Source organism: Homo sapiens, chromosome 18, assembly GCF_000001405.40.
Source record: "Homo sapiens chromosome 18, GRCh38.p14 Primary Assembly".
Taxonomy (NCBI): Eukaryota; Metazoa; Chordata; class Mammalia; order Primates; family Hominidae; genus Homo; species Homo sapiens.
The window spans coordinates 12,142,696-12,168,480 of record NC_000018.10 but is presented as its reverse complement, the minus strand read 5'-3'; the positions used below and the strand labels follow the sequence as shown (position 1 = coordinate 12,168,480).

General features: G+C 42.5%; 1 protein-coding gene across 1 annotated transcript in view; it reads right to left on the bottom strand.

Moving 5' to 3' along the window:
• Nucleotides 1–25,785, bottom strand: part of ANKRD62 (ankyrin repeat domain 62) — an 87,842-nt gene that overhangs the window by 13,204 nt on the left and 48,853 nt on the right. The window lies entirely within an intron of this gene.

The following is a 25,785-nucleotide window of genomic DNA, read 5'->3' as shown; positions in this document are numbered from 1 at the left end:
AAAGAACAGAGGTCTCAGAAATAATGCCACATATCTACAACTATCTGATCTTTGACAAACCTGACAAAAACAAGCAATGGGGAAAGGATTCCCTATTTAATAAATGGTGCTGGGAAAACTGGCTAGCCATATGTAGAAAGCTGAAACTGGATCCCTTCCTTACACCTTATACAAAAATTAATTCAAGATGGATTAAAGACTTAAATGTTAGACCTAAAACCATAAAAACCCTAGAAGAAAACCTAGGCAATACCATTCAGGACATAGGAATGGGCAAGGACTTCATGACTAAAACACCAAAAGCAATGGCAACAAAAGCCAAAATTGACAAATGGGATCTAATTAAACTAAAGAGCTTCTCCACAGCAAAAGAAACTACCATCAGAGTGAACAGGCAACCTACAGAATGGGAGAAAATTTTTGCAATCTACCCATTGGACAAAGGGCTAATATCCAGAACCTACAAAGAACTCAAACAAATTTACAAGAAAAAAAAATCAAACAACCCCATCAAAAAGTGGGCAAAGCATATGAATAGATAGTTCTCAAAAGAAGACATTTATGCAGCCAATAGACACATGAAAAAATGCTCATCATGACTGGCCATCAGAGAAATGCAAATCAAAACCACAATGAGATACCATCTCACACCAGTTAGAATGGCAATCCTTAAAGTCAGGAAACAACAGATGCTGGAGAGGATATGGAGAAATAGGAATGCTTTTACACTTTTGGGAGTGTAAACTAGTTCAACCATTGTGGAAGACGGTGTGGCGATTCCTCAAGGATCTAGAACTAGAAATACCATTTGACCTAGTGATCCTATTACTGGGTATATACGCAAAGGATTATAAATCATGTTCCTATAAAGACACATGCACACATGTGTTTATTGTGGCACTATTCACAATAGTAAAGACTTGGAACCAACCCAAATGTCCATCAATGATAGACTGGATTAAGAAAATGTGGCACATATACACCATGGAATACTATGCAGCCATAAAAAAGGATGAGTTCATGTCCTTTGTAGCGACATGGATGAAGCCGGAAATCATCATTCTGAGCAAACTATCACAAGGACAGAAAACCAAACACCACATGTTCTCACTCATAGGTGGGAACTGAACAATGAGAACGCTTGGACACAGGGCAGGGAACATCACACACCAGGGCTTGTCACGGGGTGGGGGAATGGGGGAGGGATACCATTAGGAGAAATACTTAATGTAAATGATGAGCTAATGGGTGCAGCAAACCAACACGGCACATGTATACATACGTAACAAACCTGCATATTGTGCACATGTACCCTAGAACTTAAAGTATAATAAAGAAAAAATAAAATTTAAAAAACTTAGTATAACCTAAAAAAATAATGTGGCACATGTACACCGTGGAATGCTATGCAGCCATACAAAAAGATGAGTTCATGTCCTTTGTGGTGGCATGGATGAAGCTGGAAACCATCATTCTGAGCAAACTATTGCAAGGACAGAAAACCAAACACCACCTGTTCTCACTCATAGGTGGGAACTGAACAATGAGAACACCTGGACACAGGGCAGGGAACATCACACACTGGGGCCTGTCATGGGGTGGGGGTTGGGGGAGGGATAGCATTAGCAGAAATACCTAATGTAAATGATGAGTTAATGGATGCAGCAAACCAACACAGCACAGGTATACGTATGTAACAAACCTGCACATTGGGCACATGTACCCTAGAACTTAAAGTATAACAAATAAATAAATACTTAACTCTTCAATGCCCAAACAATGATAAACAGCTACAAGTATCAAGACCATTTAGGAAAAAAATGACCTCACCAAATGAACTAAATAAGGCACCAAGGACCAATCCTGGAAAAACAGAGATATGTGACTTTTCAGACTGAGAATTCAAAGTGGGTGTTTCGAGGAAACTAAAAAAAAATTCAAGGTAACACAGAGAAGCAATTCAGAATTTTATTAGATAAATTTAACAATGATATTAAAATTATTAAAAAGAAGCAGAAATTCTGGAGCTGAAAAATTGACATACTGAAGAATGTATAAGAGTCTCTTAATAGCAGAACTGATAAAGCAGAAGAAAGGATCAGTGGGCTTCATGATAGGATGTTTGAAAATACAACCAGTTAAGTCAAAAAATTAAAAAGAATAAAGCACACATACAAGATACAGAAAATAGCCTCAAAAGGGCAAATCTAAGAATTATTGGTCTTCAGTAGGAGGCAGAGAAACAGATAGGGTAGAAAGTTTATTCAAAAGAATAATATCTGAGAACTTCCGAAACCTGGGAAAAGATATCAACATCCAAGTACAGAAAGGTTATAGAACACCAAGCAGATTTAATCCAAAACAGACTACCTCCAGGCATTTAATAACCAAACTCTTGAAGGTCAAGAATAAAGAAAGGATCTTAAAAGCAACACGAGAAAAGAAGCAAATAACATACAATGGAGCTACAATATACCTGACAGCAGATGGAAAGCTTTCAGTGCAAACCTTACAGGCCAGGAGAGAATGGTATGACATATTTAGAGTACTGAAGAAAAACAACTTTTACTCTAGAATAGTATATCTGGCAAAAATATCCTTCAATCATGAAGGAGAAACAAAAACTGAGGAATTTCATTAGCACCAGACCTGCCCTACAAAAAAAAGCTAAAGGGAGTTCTTCAATCTGAAAGGAAAGGACATTAATCAGCAATAAGAAATCATCAGAAGGACCAAAACTCACTGCTAATAGTAAACACACAAAACCCCCAGAATAGTGTAACACTGTTAATTGTGGTGTGAAACTACTCTTATCTTAAGTAGAAAGACTAAATGAACCAAACAAAATCAATAACCACAACTTCTCAAGACATACACAGTACAATAAGACATAAAGAGAGGCAATAAAAAGTTAAAAACTTGGGAGATAATGTTACAGTGTAGAGTTTTTATTAGTTTTTTTGTGTGTTTGTTTATGCAATTATGTTGTCATCAGTTTAATGGGTTTTAAGATAGTATCTGCAAACCTCATAATAACCTCATATTGAAAAACACAATGGATACACACACAAAAAAAGCAAGAAATTATACCGCCAGAGAAAATCACTTTTACTAAAAGGAAGATAGGGAGGAAGAAAAGAAGACTTGAAAACAACTAGAAAACAAATAACAAAATGCTAGGTGTGTTTACATATCAATAATAACATTGAATGGAAATGGACTAAATTCTCCAATAAAAAGACACAGAGTTGCCTAATGGATGAACAAGCAAGACCCAGTGATCTGTTGCCTACAAGAAGCACACTTTATCTATAAAGATACACATAGGCCAAAAATAAATGAATGGAAAAAAATATTCCATGGCAAAGGAAACCAAAAAAGCGCAGGAATAGCTATACTTATATCAGACAAAATAGATTTCAAAACAAAAATTGTAAGAGAAAAAAGTCATTATATAATGATAAAGGGGTCAATTCAGCAAGAGGATACAATGGTTCTAAGTACATATGCACCCTCCACTGGAGCACCCAGATATATAAAGCAAATATTATTACAGCTAAAAAGATAGACCTAAATACAATAATAGCTGGGAACTTCAACATCCCACTTTCAGCATTGAACATATGTCCCAGAAAGAAAATTGACAAAGAAAAATCAGACCTAGTCTGGACTACAAAATAAATGGACCTAATAGATATTTACAAATGGAAATTAAACAATATGTTCCTGAAGAACCAGTGGGTCAATGAAGAAATTAAGAAGGAAACTGAAAAACTTCTAGAAACTTGTGATAATAAAAACATAACATATTAAAACCTATGGGATACAGCAAAAGCAGTACTAGAGAGAAGTTTATAGCTATAATTGCCTACATCAAGAAAGAAGAAAAACTTCAAATAAACAACACAATAATGCATCTTAAAGAACTGGAAAATCCAGAGCAAACCAAATTTGAAATTAGTGGAAGATATAAAAATGATCAGAACACACATTAATGAATTTGAAATAAGAATACAAAAGATTAAACAAAAAGTTGTTTTTCTGAAAGGATAAACAAAATTGACAACCTTTAGCTAGACTAACAAAGAAAAAAAGGGAGAAGACCCAGGGAAATAAAATCAGAGACGAAAAAAAAGACATTACAACTAATACTACAGAAACTTAAAGATTGTTAGTGGCTACCATGAGCAACTATACGCTGCTAACTTGGAAAATGTAGGGGAAGTGGATAAATTCCTAAGCACATACAATCTACAAAGATTGAATCATGAAAAAATATCTACAACCTACCAATAACAAGTAATGGGATCAAAGCCATAATAAAAAGTCTCCCAGTAAAGAAAAGCCCAGGCCCAATGGCTTCACTGCTGAATTCTACTAAACATTTAAAGAATTAATACCAATCCTACTCAAACCACTTCAAATAATAGAGGAGGGAATACTTCCAAACTCATTCTAGAAGGCCAGTATTAAACTGATACAAAAAGCAAAGAGGTGTCAAAGAAACAAAACTATAGGACAATACCTGTGATATACATAGATATAAAAAATTTAACAAACTATTAGATACCAGAATTCGACAATATATTAAAAAAATCATTCATCATGACCAAGTGAAATTTATCCCAGGGATGCAAGGATGGTTCAACATATGCAAATCAATCAGTGTGATACATCATATCAACAGGATGAAAGACAAAAACCATATGATCATTTCAATTGATGCTGAGAAAGCATCTGGTGAAGTTCCCTTCAGCATCCCTTCATGATAAAAGCCCTCAAAAAACTGGGTATAAAAGGAACCTACATCAACATAATAAAAACCATGTATAACAGACCCACAGCTAGTATCATACTAAATGAAGAAAAACTGAAAACCTTTCCTCTAAGATGTGGAACATGGCAGAGATGCCCACTTTCACAACAGTTATTCAAGATACTACTGGAAGTTCTCGCTAGAACAATCAGACAAAAGAAAGAAATAAAGTGCATCCAAATTGGAAAGGAAGAAGTCAAATTATCCTTATTTGTAGATGATATGATCTTGTCTTTGGAAAAACCTAAAGACTTCACACACAAACAAAAACCTATTAGAACTGACAAACAAATTGATTTAAGTTGCAGGGTGCAAAATCAATATACAAAACTCCGTAGCATTTCTATAGGCTGACAGCAAACAATCTGAAAAAGAAACCAAAAAGGTAATCTCATTTTCAATAGCCACAAATAAAATTACATACCTAGGAGTTAAACACAGAAGTGAAAGATCTCTATAATGAAAACTATGAAACACTGATAATAAGAGGACACAAAAAATGGAAACATATTTAATGTTCTTGAATTGGAAGAGACAATGTTGTTAAAATGTCCACACTACCCAAAGCAATCTACAGATTCAATGCAATCCCTCTCAAAATACCAATGACATTCTTCACAGTAAAAGAAAAAACAATTCTAAAATTTACATGGAGCCACAAAAGACCCAGAACAGCCAAAGCTATCCTAAGTAAACAGAACAAAACTGGAAGAATCACATTTCCTGACCTCAAACTATGCAACAGAGCTATAATAACCAAGAGAGAATTGTACTGGCATAAAAACAGACACATAGACCAATGCAACAGAGTAAAGACCCAGAAACAAATCTACACACCTACAGTAAACTTATTTTCAACAAAGGTGCTAAGAACATACACCAAGGAAAAAGACAGTCTCTTCAATGAATGGCTTTGGCAAAACTAGATGTCGATATGCAGAAGCATGAAACTAGACCCCTGTCTCTTGCCATATACAAAAATCAAATCAAAATGGATCAGACATAAATCTAAGACCTCAAATTATGAAACTACTACAAGAACACAGGGAAACTCTCTAGGACATTGGATTGGGCAAAGATTTTTTTGAGCAATGCCCCAAAAGCACAGGGAACCAAAGCAAACATGAACAAATGGGCTGGCATCAAGTCAAAAAGCTTCTGCACAACAAAGGAAACAACAAAGTGAACAGATAACTGACAGAATGGGAGAAAATATCTGCAAGCTACCCATCTGACAAAACATTAATAACCAGAGTATATATGGAGCTCAAAAAACACTATAGGAAAAAAAATCTAATAATCCAACTTAAAAATAGGCAGAAGATTTGAACAGACATTTCCTCAAAAGAAGACATATAAATGCCAAACAGGCATACAAAGAAGTTCAACATCACTGATCATCAGAGAAATGCAATTCAAAACTACAGTGAGATATCATCTCACCCCAGTTAAAATGGCTTTTATCCAAAGAACAGGCAATAACAAATGCTGTTGAGCATATGGAGAAAAGGGAACCCTCTACACTGTTGGTGGAAACATAAATTAATAAAACTACCATGGAGCACAGTTTGGAGGTTCCTCAAAAAAACTAGATCTTCCATATGATCCAGCAATCCCATTGCTAGGTATATACCCCAAAGAAAGGACATTAGATTCTCAGAGATGTCTGCATTCCCATGTTTGTTGCAGCACTGTTCACAATAGCCAAGATGTGGAAGCAACCTAAGTGTCCATCAACAGATGAATGGATAAAAACATGTGGTACATATACACAATGGAGTTGTGTATATTCAGCCACAGAAGAGAGTGAGATCCTGTCATCTGCAACAACATGGATGGAACTGGAGGTCATTATGTTAATTGGAATAGGCCAGGCAAAGAAAAACATTGATGTTCTCACTTATTTGTGGGATCTAAAATTCAAAACGATTACACTTGTGGAGATAGAGAGTAGAAGGATGGTTGCCAGAGGTTGGGAAGGGTAGTGGCAAGGAGGTGGAGATGGGAGTTGGTTAATGGGCACAAAAAATAGAAAGCATGAATAAGACCTAGTGTTTGGTAGCACAACAGGGTGACTATAGTCCATAATAACTGTACATTTTAAAAGGACTGTAAGACTATAATTGGATGGTTTGTAACACAAAAGATGAATGCTTGAGAAGATGGATACCCCATTCTCCATGCTATTATGCATTGCACGCCTGTACCAAAATATGTCATGTACTCAACAAATATATATACCTACTATGTACTCACAAAATAAAAATTTAGAAAAAGAACTGTTAAGGAAAATGGCGTATTATATGAGAGAATGAGATAGGCTGGAATTTTTTCCCTTGAATAAAAAAGGATGTTTAAAAATTTAAATAAAAATTTCCAAGAAATTTTGTAAGGTATTAACAATTTGCAAAAGTAATCCTATTTGCATTATCTTTTCAGGTGTGTAAAATTGTATAAATAAAAAAATACGTCAAATGTTTTAAGACTCAGATGGTAACATGAGTGCATCAACAATTTTACACATTTCCACTGATTTCAGTTTGAGGACTGCCTGAGGAATCACTGTTTAATAGGTAGACACATTTTAAGATAGTACCTTTTTTACATGTTAGGGTAAATCTGGGTATTTTCTACCAAATAGAATCACTTAAGTAAAAACTTGTTAGTGTGTCATGAGCACTTTTCAGCATCAGCCACAGACATATCATAATTATAATTATCATGAGCCTGACATTCTTCCAGGATCTTCGGGTCTAACACGCTTCTTGAGCACATCTTCCTATGGCACTGAGGCGATGTCTATTCATGAATTTCCTTCCACCGCCATTTTTTGTTCTTAATTTTACCACTAATTTTCTTCCCTGTATCACCTCCACAAACAACTTACATATAATGCCTCCCTCTGGTTGCAAAACATCAATTTCATGATTAAAGAAATAAAGAAGGTGAATTACAGCAAGTAAATGGGGAATACCCTTCAGAAAGCAGCCTTATAAGAGCTGCTGATAGATAACATAAAAACAAAAAATGGATTATGATAATGTAGCCCTCTCACACATGAAATACAAGCCCCAGCTGAAAGGAGTTACAGAACCTCTAAAGGGCAGTCAGTAACCTGTCTAAAAACTTACCAAATTCTCTCTCTGGCTGGAAGGGTCAAACTACTTGCCCCCTGTTGATTTACTTCCTCAGCAGGACTCCATTGAAACTTCTCTCATATAAAAGGAGGCATTATCAAAGACATTACATGGTAAACCTGACCTACCATACTATGAAATGCTTATCAGCTATTGGAACATGTCACCTAGATTTTGAATTATGGTTTAAAAGGTGAGAAATTAACACTCACCTACACATGTACATGCACACACACACATTGTTTAAGAAAAATATGAATATGAGCTTATGGTAAAGGCTCTAGTCCTTACGCTGTTGATGACATTGATCAAGGGAATATACAAACAAGGAAATGTGTGACATTGAGCAGCCCTATGATTTGTACCCCAGAACACCAAACGGCACTATTAATTACAGTCAAAAGGAACACAGGCAGATTTGGGACTCAAGTATCTAAGACATGATTATAGCCTGAAAAATATCAAAACTAAGTTTATAAGAAAACAGAATATTTGAAACACAAGAAAGATCACGTTCCATTCCTTTGTTAAAGGTAGTAATAAATATTGTACCTATAGTAAGTGTGCAAGGTGATTAAAAATAATTAAAACCTAAAGAGTGGGTGAAAGCATAAAATAATTCTATTTCTTAAAAAAGACCTACACAAAACTAAAAATGTAGTGTTTTATTCAGTTATATATTTTCCATAAAAACATTATAGTCTCACAGATACACTTATGGTAAAAAATAATAAGCTAAATAAACTCTGAGAAACTAGTAACTAATAATAATAATTATAAGAACCACCACTACCACTGGCATAATGATCTATGCTTAGCTCATGTGCTGTCTAATGTCCTCAGGGCAGACATTACTCATCACGTTTCTCTGCAGAGTCCAGAAAAGATACAACATTCTTCTCAACACAGATATCCAGGCAACTGCTACCAAACATCCTGAACCACAGGACAAATCTCTTTGTAACCTATAGACTCTACTTATTGGACAATTTGCAGATTAGTTATTTCCTAACTTTCTGTACATAAAAGCAGTGTCAACAGACCAAAATCTAACTATTGGTCTCCACTATGGAACTAGAAAGCTAGCCTTGGGGAGAGGGAGAAACTGTCTAATGCATGTCAATTTGTTAAGTACTAAATTTTGTACATTAAATTCATTTAAATATGATTTTTCAGGATAGAACAGAATGAAGGCAGGGGAGAAAATTACCCCCAAATCAGTATCTTTTATACCAGTATGTGTTAAAGAAAATGAACTAAATATCATGAACAATGCCAACTACTGTGTCCCTGACTATTCTCCTCACCTCTTCCAAGCAACTCAAATCACTTTTCTTCCCTAGATACCTCAAAGCAGGGTCTAACTACAAAATATATGCACTCTTCTTTAAATACACGTTTTCCTGGTCATTTATTATATAATTAAATTAAACTCAATAGGTCGTTATACTTCTGCTGTGTTCAGTGTCTTGCATGAGGAGAAAGATGTCCAGCTTTAAACTTTTTCCATCACAGGTTAATAGCATAGGAAGAATTTTGTGGAAGGTCTGAACTAGGCCCCATATTTTAAAAGAAATACACTTATTACCTTTAAAATCATATATATTCACTTCCAACTCAAATGGCAAACGAAGCACCTCCCACTCGAAGCCCAGCTGAAATATTTTTAAATGTGTGTTAAATAAAAAATTTCTGGCCGGGCGCGGTGGCTCACGCCTGTAATCCCAGCACTTTGGGAGGCCAAGGCCGGTGGATCACGAGGTCAGGAGATCGAGACCACGCTGGCTAACACGGTGAAACCCCATCTCTACTAAAAATACAAAAAAAAAAAAAAAAATTAGCCAGGCATGATGGTGGGCGCCTGTGATCCCAGCTACGGGAGGCTGAGGCAGGAGAATGGCGTGAACCCGGGAGGCAGAGCTTGCGGTGAGCCGAGATGGCACCACTGCACTCCAGCCAGGGCGACACAGCGAGACTCCGTCTCAAAAAAAATAAAAAATAAAAATAAAAAATTTCTAAAGCAATTTTGTAGGGTATTAACAATTTGCAAAAGTAATCCTATTTGCAATATCTTTTCAGGTTGCACATACAGAGGAAGAGATTGTTTAAAATAATAAAAGCATTGATGGTAGAGACAAAAGGAAGATACCTTAGCTGATAGTTAACAGACAGAAACACAATGATGAAAGAACACAACAGCCAAAAATACCAGACAGAAGGGGACTCTGGAAATGTCACCAAAGCCACAATGACCAGGCTATTCAAAGAGGTGTGATCAGCATCAGCTGGCTACTCAGGTCCCTTGCCTTCTCATTTACTACCTCTAAACAAAGCACGTTCCTCTGGCAGGAGAGGTATTTATACCCCAGCATAGACCTAGGCCTGTCTCTGAATAGAGTGAGCCACCTGCCTATTGTGGGGACACACCTTGTCTTGTGGCCTGAGATGAGGAAGGCAGGCCTGGAGGTGACTTGTGGATCTCCAAACCTGACGCTGGAAGGGGGAGCCAACACTACCCAAGGGTAAGATGTTCTAAAGCTCATGACCCCAAAATACAGCCTCCCTGCTTTTGTTTGTTTGTTCCAAGAACATAAGGGGTTCACCCTAGCCACTCCCACCTACGCACCACAGGGAAGCTGGTCTGTTGACATCCCTGGCCACTGGCAGCACTTGTAGAAGCCCATAGTTGCCCATCCCAGCCAAGACCTTTAAGACCTGCTCAGGAATCAGACCTTTCCAGCTGCAGTGGAAACCCATTTGGCCACCTATACTATTCAGCCTCCTCCTTGTCCATAAAAATGAACAGACAGCCAATGACCACCCAGTCATTTAAGGAAATCCAACAGCAAGAAAGGAAAGGACAAAGATGTAAATAGAAAGCGAGGCAGAATCTGAGCACAAGCGAACACACTAGCCCTAGGAGAAACAGATAATTCACGGATGAGAAACCTTCAAACAGATAATTCATGAACAGAAAACATTCAAAGGATATTACATCATATTATGTTAAATATTACAACACAGTCTAGTTCACCAAAGAACAAAATTGGCAAGGCAAAAAATGGAAATCAAAAATAATCAAAGACCTACTGAAGAAGTAAAAATAAAATCTGTTGAAATTAGTAATTTACATGGGCCAGGGGCGAGGATAGGGCCTGGTTCATCACAAAGGGGTCACTCTGAGTGATGAAATGTTCTACATTTTGATCATGGTCGTGGTTACTTGACTACAGGTGTTTATCAAAACCCATAGAACCATATTCTAGAAAGAATAAATTTTACTGTATAAAAAGTCTGAAAAGTGATTTTTAAAAATGCTTGTTGAAATAAGTGCCCAGCAGAACAAGCAAAATATCTTTATCAGACATACCCTAGACAGATTTCAGCATCCCAAAGTAGAACTTCAGAAAGCTTCTGGAGAGGGAGAAAAAAGTTTGCCTATAAAGTTATCTTGGGCTGGGCACAGTGGCTCTTGCCTTTAATCTCAGCACTTTGCGGGGCCGAGGCAAGCAGATTGCTTGCCTGGGCAACATAGTGAGATGCTGTCTCTTAAAAAAATGAGAGACAGCGAGCGAGAGAGAGCGAGAGAGTGAGAGAGGAAGTTATCATATATCTTATCAGCAAAACTATGCCTTTAAAATTTAGAGGGAAAATACTTTTCTACCCTATGAAGACAAAAATGTGACATTTTCAATCAAGCAATGACTCAAAGTTACAACCCACGTACACCATGTTTTTAAAAATTAATATAGGATATTTTTTATGAAAACAAAAATATTCAAGAGAGAACTAAATGGTATAGCAAATTCAGTGACAGCTAAAAATGCCCTAAAATGGTGTTTTTAAAACTTTGATTAGAGCCAACAGTAAGAGATGCATCTCCTCACAGCTTAGAACACACACAGATGTGTATAAAATGCAAGCTTCAAAGTAATATCTAGACTTATATTATGTGATGCTCTATAAGTTTTCCTATTCTATTCTAGTATATTCCTTTTTAAAAATACTGTTCTTTACCCACTAAATCAACGTCCTGACTCAGTAGTGGATCTAATCCATAGATTAAAAAACAGATTTCACAGAAGCAAGCAAGCAGAAACAAAACCATGAAGAATATGAGGATCTACCAGTCCATGACATGTGGGATACTCCTTTTGACAGGGAGAGGTCTAATGGATTATGGAGTTGGAGAATATTTTTGAAATACCTATTGTGTTAGTTCTTCTCATGTTGCTACAGAAAAATACCTGAGATTGGGTAATTTATAAAGAAAAGAAATGTATTTGGTTTATGGTTCTGCAAACTGCACCGGAGGCGTGGCACCAACATCTGCTTCTAGTCAGGCCTCAGGAAGCTTCCAATTATGGTGGAAGGCAAAGGGGGAGCAGGCGGGTGTGTCACATGGTGAGAGAGGAGGGAAGGAGAGAAAGGGAGGGAGAGGGAGGGGGGAAGGAGAGAGAGAGAGAGAAAGAGAGAGAGAGAGAAGGTAGTATCAGGCTCCTTTAAACAATCAGCTCTGGCCTGAACTAACAGAGTGAGAACTCACTCATTACCACAGAAAGGCAAATCTCCAACACTGGCGATCACATTTCATCATGAAATTTAAAGGGGACAAATACCTAAGCCATATCACCAACTGACTTTTTCTTCCTCCCACTATTTCCCCCTTTCTATCTCCCCAATGTCTATCTGAAGGAAGTACCCTTTCCAGGGTTCAGTCTTAGGAGGGATGACAGTGTAGAAAATGGAAGTGGCCAGCTAGGTTCTGCTTTGGTATTTCCTAACACCTAAAGACATTAGGTAGAATATACTAGGAGCTCCTTGTGGGGAAATCATTATAAAGAAAATGGCTCTAAGAGATTATCATTGAGATTAAGAGAGGAAAGGAATAAAGAGAATAAAGAAAGGGGAACTTTGTACACCTAGGCCTGGCTCAGATCCCCCAAGCCCAGGCAGATAGGTCATTGACAGCCTCAACAGTAGTGGCCCATGGGGACAAGGAAGCCCGTGTCCACAGGAACTTCATGTGTGCTCCATGGCAGTCTAGAACCACAGGAGTCAGAAAATAAAAAAGTCAATGGAAACAGGAAGAAGGAATCTTTCACAATAAACTATGTAGGCTTGGGATTGAGAACCAGGCAATAAAGCCAAGATGTGGCCTCCTGCAAGTTCCTGGCACCATGCAAGTCCCCAGTGATTTAGCCACTATTTAAAGGAAAAGGATGTGGAGACTCACATTTACTCATATTAAATTCTCATAAAACAAATTTATATTAAGTTTTCAAGCCAGAATAAGCACTAGAATAAAAATTGTTATGGGAAAATAAGTTACATTTCTGGTACATCTTAGTCCAGGACTGAGAGTTACACTTCAGACAGTTACATTTTCTTTTGTTGTTGTTAACATCTATTTTAGGTTCCAGGGTACATGTGAAGGTTTGTTACACAGGTAAACTTGTGTCACAGGGGTTTCTTGTACATATTTCATTACCCAGGTATTAAGCCTAGTACCTGATAGTTATCTTTTCTACTCCTCTCCCTCCTCCCACCTTCCACTCTCAAGCAGACCTTAGTGTCTGCTGTTCCCTTCTCTGCGTTCATGAGTTCTCATCATTAGGCTCCCACTTATAAGTGAGAACATGTGGTATTCAGTTTTCTGTTCCTGCATTAGTTTGTTAAGGATAATGGCCTCCAGCTTCATCCATGTTCCCACAAAAGACATGACCTTATTCTTTTTTATGGTTGCATAGTATTCTGTGGTGTATATGTACCACATTTTCTTTGGCCAATCGGTCACTGCTGGGCATTTAGGTTGATTCCATGTCTTTGCTATTGCGAATAGTGATGCAATGAACATTCACATGCATGTGGCTTTATGGTAGAATGCTTTATATTTCTCTGGGTACGTACACAGTAATGGGATTGCTGGGTGGAATGCTAGTTCTGCTTTTAGGGTGGAATGGTAGTTCTGCTTTTAGCTTTCTGAGGACTCACCATACGGCTTTCCACAATGGTGGAACTAATTAACACTCCCACCAACAATGTATGTGTTCCCTTTTCTCCACAACCTTGCCAGCATCTGTTGTTTCCTGACTTTCTTATAACAGCCATTCTGACTAGTGGGTGATGGTATCTCATTGTGGATTTGATTTGCATTTCTCTGATCATCAGTGATACTGGGTTTTTCTTATATGCCTGTTGGCTGCATGTAGGTCTTCTTTTGGAAAGTGTCTGTTCATGTCCTTTGCCAACTTTTTAATGGGCTTGTTCTCTCTTGTAAATTTGTTTAAGCTCCTTATAGATGCTGGATATTAGAGCTTTGTCAGATTCATAGTTTGCAAATATTTTCTCCCATTTTGTAGGCTGTTTGTTCTGTTGATAGTTTCTCTTGCCATGCAGAAGCTCTTAATTTTAATTAGACCCCATTTGTCAATGTTTGATTTGACTGTGATTGCTTTTTGTCTTTCTCATAAAATCTTTGGCCATTCCAATGTCTGGGATGGTATTGCCTAGGTTGTCTTCCGGGATTTTTATAGTTTTTGGTTTTACTTCTAAGAGTTTAATCCATCTTGAGTTGACTTGTATGTATGGTGTAAAAAAGGGTCCAGCTTCAATCTTTTGCATATGGCTAGCCAGTTATTCAACAGACATTTACTGAATAGGGAATCTTTCCCCCAGTGCTTGTTTCTGTTAGCTTTGTCAAAGAACAAATAGTTGAAGGTGTGTAACCTTATTTTTGGGTTCTCTCTTCAGTTCCCTTAGTATATATGTCTGTTTTGATTACTGTAGCCCTGTAGTATAGTTTGAAGTCGGGTAACCTAATGCCTCCAGCTTTGTTCTTTTTGCTTAGGATTGCCTTGGTTATTCCAGCTTTTCTGATTCCATATGAACTTTAAAATCATTTTTTTCTTTCTTTCTTTTTTTTTTTTTTTTTCCCAGGCAGAGTCTCGCTCTGTCACCCAGGCTGGAGTGCAGTGATGTGATCCTGGCTCACTGAAACCTCAGCCTCACAGGTTCAAGCGATTCTCTTGCTTCAGCCTCCTGAGTAGCTGGGGTTACAGGTGTGCACCACCACACCTGGCTAATTTTTGTATTTTTAGTAGAGATGGGATTTCACTGTGTTGGCCAGGCTGGTCTTGAACTCCTGACCTTAAGTGATTCACCCCACTTTGGCCTCCCAAAGTGCTGGGATTACAGGCATGAGCCACTGTGCCTGGCCCGTTTTTTCTAGTTCTGCAAAGAATATCATTAGTAGTTAAATATAAATAGCATTGAGTGTACAAATTGCTTTGGGCAGTATGGCCATTTTAATGATATTGCTTCTTCCTATCCATGAGCATGAAAGTTTTTTAGCTTTTACATTTGTCTGTGTCATCTCTGATTTCTTTAAGCAGCAGTTTGTAGTTCTCCTTGTAGAGCTCTTTCGCCTCCTTTGTTAGCTATATTCCTAAATATTTATCTGTGTGGGCATTGTGAATGGGATTGAATTCCTGATTTCGTTCTCATCTTGACTGTTGTTGATGTATAAGAGTGCTAGTTATTTTTGTACACTGATTTTGTGTACTCAGACTGCTAAAGTTGTTTATCAGCTTAAGGAGATTTTTGGCTGAGACTATGGGGTTTTCTTTTCTTTGGAAATGGAATCTTGCTCTGTCACCCAGCTTGGAGGGCAATGGCACGATCTCGGCTTCAACTATGGGGTTTTCTAAAGATAGAATAATGCTGTCTTGCAAACAGGGATAGTTTGGCTTCCTCTCTTCCTGTTTGGATGCCCTTTATTTATTTGTTTGATTGCTCTGGTGAGGGCTTCCAATACTGTGTTGAATATGAGTGGTGAGAGAGGGTATCCTTGTCTTGTGCTGGTTTTTGAGGGGAATGCCCCCAGCTTTTGCCCATTCAGTATGATCTTGGCTGCAGATTTGTCATGAATAGCTCTTATTATTTCAAGACATGTTCCTTCAACATCAGTTCATTGAGAGTTTTTAACATGAAGGGTGTGGAATTTTGTAGAAAGACTTTTCTGCAAATATTGAGATAATTGTGGTTTTTGTCTTTGGTTCTGTTTATGTGATTAATCACATTTATTGATTTGCATAGGTTAAACCAACTTTGCATCCCAGGGATGAAGCCTACTTGATCGTGGTGGATTAGCTTTTTGATATGCTAATGGATTCAGTTTTCAAGGATTTTGTTGAGGATTTATGCATTGAAGTTAATCAAGGATAACAGCCTGAAGCTTTATTTTCTGGTTGTGTTTCTGCAGGTTTCGGTATCAGGAGAATGCTGGCCTCATAGAATGTGTTTGGGAGGAGTCCCTCCTCCTCAGTTTTTTTTTTTTTTTTTTTTTTTTGGAAGCATTTCAGCAGAAATGGTATCAGCTCTTTTTTGTGCATCTGGTCGAATCTGGCTGTGAATCCATCGGGTCCTGGGCCTTTTTTTTTTTTTGGTAGCTTATTTATTCCTATTCAACTTTGGAGCTCATCATTGGTCTGTTAAAACATTCAATTACTTCTTGATTCAGTCTTGGGAGGGTGTATGTGTAGAAAAATTTACCTATCTCTTCTAAGAAGGTTTTCTAGTTTGTGTGCATAGAAGCATTTTTAGTAGTTACTCATGTTACTTGTATTTCTGTGGGATCAGTGGTCACATTGCCTTCATCATTTCTAATGGTGTTTATTTGGATTGTCTCTCTTCTCTATTAGTCTAGCTAGTGGTCTATCTATCTTATTAAATTTTTCAAAAAATCAACCCCTGGATTTGTTGAACTTTTGGATAATTTTCTGAGTCTCAATTTCCTTCTTCAGTTAAGCTCTGACGTTGGTTATTTCTTGTCTTCTGCGAGCTGTGAGGTTGATTTATTCTTGCTTCTCTAATTATTTCAATTGTGATGTTAGGTCGTTAATTTGATATCTTTCTAACACTAATTTTTATTGTGTTGTGGTTCAAGAGTATGTTTAGTATGATTTCAGTTCTTTTCATTAGCTAAGGATTGTTTTATATCCAATTATGGGGTTGATTTCAGAGCATGTGGCATGTGGTGATGAGAGAATGCATATTCTGTTGTTTTCAGGGACAGAATTACGTAGAGGTCTATCAGACCCACTTGGTCCAGTGTTGACTTCAGGTCCCATATACCTTTGTTAATTTTCTCCCTCAGTGATCTAACGTCAATGGAGCGTTAAAGTCTCCCACTATTATTTTGAGGGAGTCTATGTCTCTTTGTAGATCTCTAAGAACTCGCTTTATGAACCTAGGTGCTCATGTGCTGGATGCATACATATTCAGAATAGTTAGGTCTTCTTGTTGAATTCAACACTTTACCATTATTTAATGCCCTTCTTTGTCTTTTTTGATCTTTGTTGGTTTGAAATCTGTTTTGTCTGAAATTAGGATCGCAAGCCCTGCTTTTTTCTGTTTTCCATTTGCTTGGTAGATTTTCCTCCATCCCTTTATTTTGAGCCTATGGGTGTCATTATGTGTTAGACACGTTTCTTGAAGACAGCATATGATTGGTTCTTGTTTTATATGCACCTTGCCACACGGTGCCTTTTTAGTGAAGGGTATTTCACCCATTTACATATAAAGTTAGTGTTGATATTTGTGGATTTGATTCTGATGTTGTGTTGTTAGCCAACTGTTATGCTGGCTTGCTTTATAGTGTCAGTGGTCTGTGTATTTAAGTGCATTTTTGTACTAGCTGGTGGTGGTCTTTCTATATTTAGTGCTCCTTTCAAGATCTCTTGTAAGGCAGGTCTGGTGATAACAAACTCCCTCAACTTTTGCTTGTCTGAATAGGATCTTATTTCTCCTTCACTGAGGAAGTTTACTTTGGCTGGATATGAAATTCTTGGTTAAAGGATTTTTTTCTTTAAGAATGTCAAATATAGGCCCCCAATCTCTTCTGGCTTGCAGGGTTTCAGCTAAGATGTCTACTGTTAGCCTGATGGGGTTCCCTTTGTAGGTGACCTGCCCTTTCCCTCTTGCTGCCTTTAACATTCTTTCTTTCATTTGGACCTTGGAAAATCTGATGATTATATGTCTTGGGGATGGTATTCGTGTGTAAAATCTTGCAGGAGTTCTCTGTATTTCCTGAATTTGTTTGATTCTCTAGCAAGTTTGGGGAAGTTGTCATAGACAATATACTGAAATAGGTTTTCCAAGTTGTTGGCTTTCTCTCTGTCCCTTTCAGGGATGCCAATGATAAATAGACTTGGCCTCTTTATATAGTCCCATACTTTTCAGAGGTTTTGTTCATGTCTTTTGGTTGTTTTTATAATTTTTTGTCTGACTGTCTCATTTCAGAGAGCCAGTCTTCAAGCTCTGAAATTCTTTTCTCAGCTAGATTTATTCTCCTGTTAATACTTGCAATTGCATTGTGAAATTCTTGTATTGTGTTACTCAACTCCGTCAGGCCTCTTAGTGGTGGTGGTGTTTTTTTTTCCTATGGTGGCTATTTCATCCTTCAGCTCCTGTATTATTCTATTGTGATTCTCGGTTTCCTTGCATTAGGTATTGCCATCTTCCTGAATCTCAACGGTCCTCATTCCTGCCCATAGTCTGAATTCTATTTCTATCATGTCAGCCAGCTCTGTCTGGTTAAGAACTCTTCTTGGAGAACTGTTGTGGTCCTTAGGAGGACGTATGGCACTCTGGCCATTTGAGTTACCAGAGTTCTCGCGTTGGTTCTTTCTCATCTCTGCATGTGGGTGTTCCTTTAACTTCAGTGCAGACTCAGTACAGTCAATAGACTTCTTTTCTGGATGTTTTCACAGAACTGACACTTTATTCGGGTCTTGATTTGAAGCTGACTTCTTGTCTTTGGTTTCAGATGGGAGTATGTTAGCAAGGTACTTTTGGTGTTGAGGTTCTAGGGTGTGATCCAGTAGGTGGCGCTTAGGAATATTGGTCAGTTGGTAAACTCTTGCTCGTTTGTGTGGCTCCTCTATGTTGAACCACACTTGCAGCCCTGTTCCTTCCCAGTACTCTGAAAGTATGGGTTCCTCTCCCCCTTGAGTGCTGGCTGTAGATTGTGGCTTGGCACTCCTGGGCTGCCCACTGCAGCTCGGGGGCGATCTCAGTGTTTATGTTCCTTCCCCAACTTGGAGGCACAGAGAAAGGGACCTTAGTAGTGGCTGTGGCCAAGGGTCTTTCGCGTGTCTCCTGGGGGCTCCACCCATAGAGATGCAGGTCAGCATTCACTCAGTGCAATCAGCCCAGGTTGGAGTGTCTGTGCTGTGGGCCCAAGCCGGGGGTTCCCTGTCTGGTAGTGAGCAGAGGGGAGCATGTGGGGCCCATGGGAGATGGACTGGCCTCCTCTCCTTGGGTCAACTGCAGCTCGTTGGAGGTGTGGATCAAGGACATAGGGTCTTTGCTCCTTCACTAGTCCAAGGGTAGCAAGGGCAGTTCCACTGCAGAGGCAGTGGCAGAGAGGCTTTCAGTTGCCCCTGGAGGCTGTGTCAATGGAGTTGCCGAGCTGCCACTGGCTCCATAGGTCTGGCGAGGGGTGGCTAGAGGACCTGCCAGGTGAGGAGTTTCGGGAATGGGCACCCATGTAACAGTGTGGCCACTTTCTGTAGGGCTGCTGCAGTATGCTGAGGGCCTGCTCCAGTCCCTAGTCACCTTGGATTTTTCAGCACCTGGAGGTATGAAGGTTGCAAAACAGCAAAGATGGTGGCCTGCCCCTCCCACTGGAAGCCCTGTCCCAGGGAGGTATGGAGCTGTTGACGGCCTGAATGCATCTGTAGGAGGTAGCTGGAGAGACCTCGGTTGACAGGTCCCGCTGAGTGAGGAGAAGCCTCACTCAGAAAAGTATTGGGGCCACTTTTCTTTTTTCCTTTTTTTTTTGAGAGAGTCTCACTCTGCCACCCAGGCTGGAGTGTAGTGGCACAATCTGGGCTCACTGCAACCTCTGCCTGCTAGGTTCAAGCAATTCTCCTGCCTCAGCCTCCCGAGTAGCTGGGACTACAGGTGCACGCCACCACGCCTGGCTAACTTTTTGTACTTTTAGTCAAGAGGCCGTGTCACCATGCTGGCCAGGCTGATCTCCAACTGCTGACCTCATGATCTGCCCACCTCAGCCTCCCAAAGTGCTGGGATTACCGGCGTAAGCAATTGTGCCTGTTTTTAGAAAACAGCACTACGTTTTTTTGAAAAACCAGTCTGTGCATCGTTCTGTTGAGCAGCTGTGTTGTGCTGTGCTGTGCTGTGCTGTGCTGTGCTGTGCTGTGCTGTGCTGGGGGTCTGCTTCCGTCCCCGATCTCCTCGTTCACTTCTGAGCCCGAAGGCTGGAAGGGCTAAGTTGCCCAAATAGAAGAGATGGTGGCCTACCGCACTCCCTGGGAGCTCCATCTCAAGGAGATTTGGGACGTCTGTCAGCCAGAGAACACTGGCAAGGGTGGCTGGACACCCCAGTTGAAAGCTCCCACCCAGTGAAGAGGAACGGGATCAGGGACCCACTTGAAAAAGCAGTCTGGCCACGTTTTCGTAGAGCAGCCCCCAGTTGGCCCTTTTAAGCGGGTCCCTGATCCCGGTGTTTTCCACCTGACAGAGATCTGAAACCTCCCCAGGATGAACCTCCAAGAAGGAGAGGCAGGCCGCCATCTTTGCTGTTGGGGCAACTTAGCCATTGCATCCTGCAGGCTTTAGAGGGTTCAAGCCGATCGGGGGTGGCAGTGCCAGCCTAGCCCAGCCACACGCCATCCTCACTGAGCGGGACCTCCCGACTGGAGTCTCCAGGCACTCTTGCCAGTGCTCTCCAGCTGACAGAGGTTTGAGGCCTCCCTGCGACAGAGCTCCTAAGGGGAGGGGCAACCTGCCATCTTTGCAGTTTTGGTGGCTGGGCGGATCCAGCTTTCTGGCTTGGAAGTGAACCCCGTGACCAGGAATGGGAGCGTACCCCCAGCACAGCACAGCTGCTCGATGAAAAGATGGCCAGACTGCCTACTTTTTTTTTAAGCATTGAGAGATGGACTGGCCTCCTCTTTCTGGGTCAACTGCAGCCTGCTGGAGGTGTGGATAAGGCAGGTAGGGTCTTTGCTGCTTCATTAGTCCAAAGGTAGCAAGGGTAGTTCCACTGTAGAGGCAGTGGCAGAGAGGCTTTCAGTTGCTCCTGGAGGCTCTGTTCAGGGCATTGCAGGGCTGCTACTGGCTTGGCATCTCTGGTGGGAGATTGCTGGAAGCCCAGGCCCAGAGGACCAGCCCCCTGAAAAGATACGGTAATGGGCATCCACGTGACACTCTGGAGACTTTCCTGTAGGGCTGCTGCAGTATGCTGGGGGCCCAATCCTGTCCCTAGCCAGCTCGGATCTTCCAGTATCTAGAGGTAACACGAGTGAAGGCTGTGAAACAGCAAAGATGGCGGCCTGCCCCTCCCTCCAAGAGGTCTGTCCCTGAGAGGTATGGACCTGTTGGTGGCCCAAACACACCTGTAGGAGGTGGCTGGAGACCACAGTTGGGAGGCCCTGCCCAGTGAGGAGGAACAAGATCGGGGCCCCCTTTAAAAAGCAGTCTGGCCTCGTTTTTGTAGACCAGCTGCGCTGTGCTAAGGGTCCGCGCTTCAGCCCCCAGTCACCTAGAACACTCCAAAGCCCACAAGCTGGAATGGCTAAGCCACCCAAATGGCAAAGGTAGCAGCCTGCCTCTGCCTCTGAGAGCTTCATCCCAGGGAGGTTGGAAACCTCTGTTGGCTGGCAGACACTGGCAGGGGTAGTTGAAGACCCCTGCCAGGAAGTCTCACACATTAAGGAGGAACAGGATCGGCAGCCCACTTTAAAAAAGCAGTCTGGGCTGGGCACGGTGGCTCACCCCTGTAATCCCACCACTTTGGGAGGCCGAGGAGGGCGGATCGTTTGAGATCAGGAGTTCGAGGCCAGCTGGGCAACATGGTGAGAACCCGTCTCTACTAAAACTCCAAAAATTAGCTGGGCATGCTGGCCTATGCCTGTAGTCCCAGCTGCTCGGAAGGCTGAGGCTGGAGAATTGCTTGAACCCAGGAGGCGGAGGTTGCGGTGAGCCGAGATTGTGCCACTGCACTCCAGCCTGGGAAACAGAAGGAGATTCTATCTCAAAACACACACACGCCCCCCCAAAAAAGTCTGGCCCCATTTTCATAAAGCAAGTGTGCTGTGCTGGGGGTCTCTTCCAGCCTCCAGATGCCTCTGACTCTCCAAAGACTGAAGGCCGAAATGGCTAAGTCATCCCAACAGCAAAGATGGCGGCCTGATCCTCCTCCTGGAAAGTCCCACAGAGTGAGGTTTAAGATGTCTGCCGGCCAAGGAATACCAGTGGAAGTGGCTGGAGACCCCGGTTGGGAGGTCCCACAAAGTCAGGAGAAACAGGATCCAGGACACTCTTAAGAAAGAAGCCTGGCCATGTTTTCATAGAACAGCCGTGCTGCGCTGTGCTGTGCTGTGCTGTGCTACCACTTCTACCGCAGGTTGGCCTGCAGTCTCTGAAGGCCGAAGGCTGGAATGGCTAAGTCGCCCAAATGGCAAAGATGTGGCCTGCCCCTCTTTCTGAGAGGTCCCACAGAGCAAGGTTTAAGATGTCTGTCGGCCAAGGAACACTGGTGCGGGTGGCTGGAGACCCCATTTGGGAGGTCCTACAAAGTGAAGAGAAACGGGATCCAGGACACGCTTAAGAAAGCAGCCTGGCCCTGTGATGAGAAACGGGATCCAGGACATGCTTAAGAAAGCAGCCTGGCCAAGTTTTTGTAGAACAGCTCTGCTGTGCTGTACTAGAGGAACACTTCTGCCGCAGGTTGGTCTGCACACTCTGAAGGCCAAAGGCTGGAATGGCTAAGCCACCCAAGTGGCAAAGATGGCCCGCCTCTCCCTCTGGGAGCCCCATCCTAGGGAGGAGTCAAATCTGTGTTAGCTGGAGACCACTGGCAAGAGTAGCTGAAGACCCCAGTTGAGAGCTCCCTCCCAGTGAAGAGACACAGAAACAGGGACCTGCTTATAAAAGCAGTCTGGCCTCATTTCACAGGGCAGCTGTGATGTGCTGGGGGACCCCATCCACATCCACCTCTCTATGGGCTTAAAAAAAGCAGCCTGGCCATGTATTTGCAAAACAGCCCCTCGTTGACTATTTTTAGTGGGTCCCCAGTCGTGGTATTCTCTGGCCAACAGAGATCTGAAACCTTTCTGAACATACCAGAAGGAGAAATGGGCTGACATCTTTGTTGTTTGGGCAGCTTAGCCATTGCATTTTTTCGAGCTTTGGAGATTCCAAGCCCATGTGGTGGGGGGCGGTAGCAGAGCAGTGGGACCTCCCAGAAGGAGAGGCAGGCCAACATCTTTGCCACTTGGGTGACTTAGCCATTCCAGCCTTTGGCCTTCAGAGAGTGCAGGCCAACCTGGGGCAGAAGTGGTCCCCCAGCACAGCACAGCACAGCACAGCACGACACAGCTGTTCTACAAAAACATGGTGCAATCTCGGCTCACCACAACCTCCGCCTCCTGGGTTCAAGCAATTCTCCAGCCTCAGCCTTCCGAGCAGCTGGGACTACAGGCATAGGCCAGCATGCCCAGCTAATTTTTGGAGTTTTAGTAGAGACGGGTTCTCACCATGTTGCCCAGCTGGCCTCGAACTCCTGATCTCAAACGATCCGCCCTCCTCGGCCTCCCAAAGTGGTGGGATTACAGGGGTGAGCCACCGTGCCCAGCCCAGACTGCTTTTTTAAAGTGGGCTGCCGATCTTGTTCCTCCTTAATGTGTGAGACTTCCTGGCAGGGGTCTTCAACTACCCCTGCCAGTGTCTGCCAGCCAACAGAGGTTTCCAACCTCCCTGGGATGAAGCTCTCAGAGGCAGAGGCAGGCTGCTACCTTTGCCATTTGGGTGGCTTAGCCATTCCAGCTTGTGGGCTTTGGAGTGTTCTAGGTGACTGGGGGCTGAAGCGCGGACCCTTAGCACAGCGCAGCTGGTCTACAAAAACGAGGCCAGACTGCTTTTTAAAGGGGGCCCCGATCTTGTTCCTCCTCACTGGGCAGGGCCTCCCAACTGTGGTCTCCAGCCACCTCCTACAGGTGTGTTTGGGCCACCAACAGGTCCATACCTCTCAGGGACAGACCTCTTGGAGGGAGGGGCAGGCCGCCATCTTTGCTGTTTCACAGCCTTCACTCGTGTTACCTCTAGATACTGGAAGATCCGAGCTGGCTAGGGACAGGATTGGGCCCCCAGCATACTGCAGCAGCCCTACAGGAAAGTCTCCAGAGTGTCACGTGGATGCCCATTACCGTATCTTTTCAGGGGGCTGGTCCTCTGGGCCTGGGCTTCCAGCAATCTCCCACCAGAGATGCCAAGCCAGTAGCAGCCCTGCAATGCCCTGAACAGAGCCTCCAGGAGCAACTGAAAGCCTCTCTGCCACTGCCTCTACAGTGGAACTACCCTTGCTACCTTTGGACTAATGAAGCAGCAAAGACCCTACCTGCCTTATCCACACCTCCAGCAGGCTGCAGTTGACCCAGAAAGAGGAGGCCAGTCCATCTCTCAATGCTTAAAAAAAAAGTAGGCAGTCTGGCCATCTTTTCATCGAGCAGCTGTGCTGTGCTGGGGGTACGCTCCCATTCCTGGTCACGGGGTTCACTTCCAAGCCAGAAAGCTGGATCCGCCCAGCCACCAAAACTGCAAAGATGGCAGGTTGCCCCTCCCCTTAGGAGCTCTGTCGCAGGGAGGCCTCAAACCTCTGTCAGCTGGAGAGCACTGGCAAGAGTGCCTGGAGACTCCAGTCGGGAGGTCCCGCTCAGTGAGGATGGCGTGTGGCTGGGCTAGGCTGGCACTGCCACCCCCGATCGGCTTGAACCCTCTAAAGCCTGCAGGATGCAATGGCTAAGTTGCCCCAACAGCAAAGATGGCGGCCTGCCTCTCCTTCTTGGAGGTTCATCCTGGGGAGGTTTCAGATCTCTGTCAGGTGGAAAACACCGGGATCAGGGACCCGCTTAAAAGGGCCAACTGGGGGCTGCTCTACGAAAACGTGGCCAGACTGCTTTTTCAAGTGGGTCCCTGATCCCGTTCCTCTTCACTGGGTGGGAGCTTTCAACTGGGGTGTCCAGCCACCCTTGCCAGTGTTCTCTGGCTGACAGACGTCCCAAATCTCCTTGAGATGGAGCTCCCAGGGAGTGCGGTAGGCCACCATCTCTTCTATTTGGGCAACTTAGCCCTTCCAGCCTTCGGGCTCAGAAGTGAACGAGGAGATCGGGGACGGAAGCAGACCCCCAGCACAGCACAGCACAGCACAGCACAGCACAGCACAGCACAGCACAACACAGCTGCTCAACAGAACGATGCACAGACTGGTTTTTCAAAAAAACGTAGTGCTGTTTTCTAAAAACAGGCACAATTGCTTACGCCGGTAATCCCAGCACTTTGGGAGGCTGAGGTGGGCAGATCATGAGGTCAGCAGTTGGAGATCAGCCTGGCCAGCATGGTGACACGGCCTCTTGACTAAAAGTACAAAAAGTTAGCCAGGCGTGGTGGCGTGCACCTGTAGTCCCAGCTACTCGGGAGGCTGAGGCAGGAGAATTGCTTGAACCTAGCAGGCAGAGGTTGCAGTGAGCCCAGATTGTGCCACTACACTCCAGCCTGGGTGGCAGAGTGAGACTCTCTCAAAAAAAAAAGGAAAAAAGAAAAGTGGCCCCAATACTTTTCTGAGTGAGGCTTCTCCTCACTCAGCGGGACCTGTCAACCGAGGTCTCTCCAGCTACCTCCTACAGATGCATTCAGGCCGTCAACAGCTCCATACCTCCCTGGGACAGGGCTTCCAGTGGGAGGGGCAGGCCACCATCTTTGCTGTTTTGCAACCTTCATACCTCCAGGTGCTGAAAAATCCAAGGT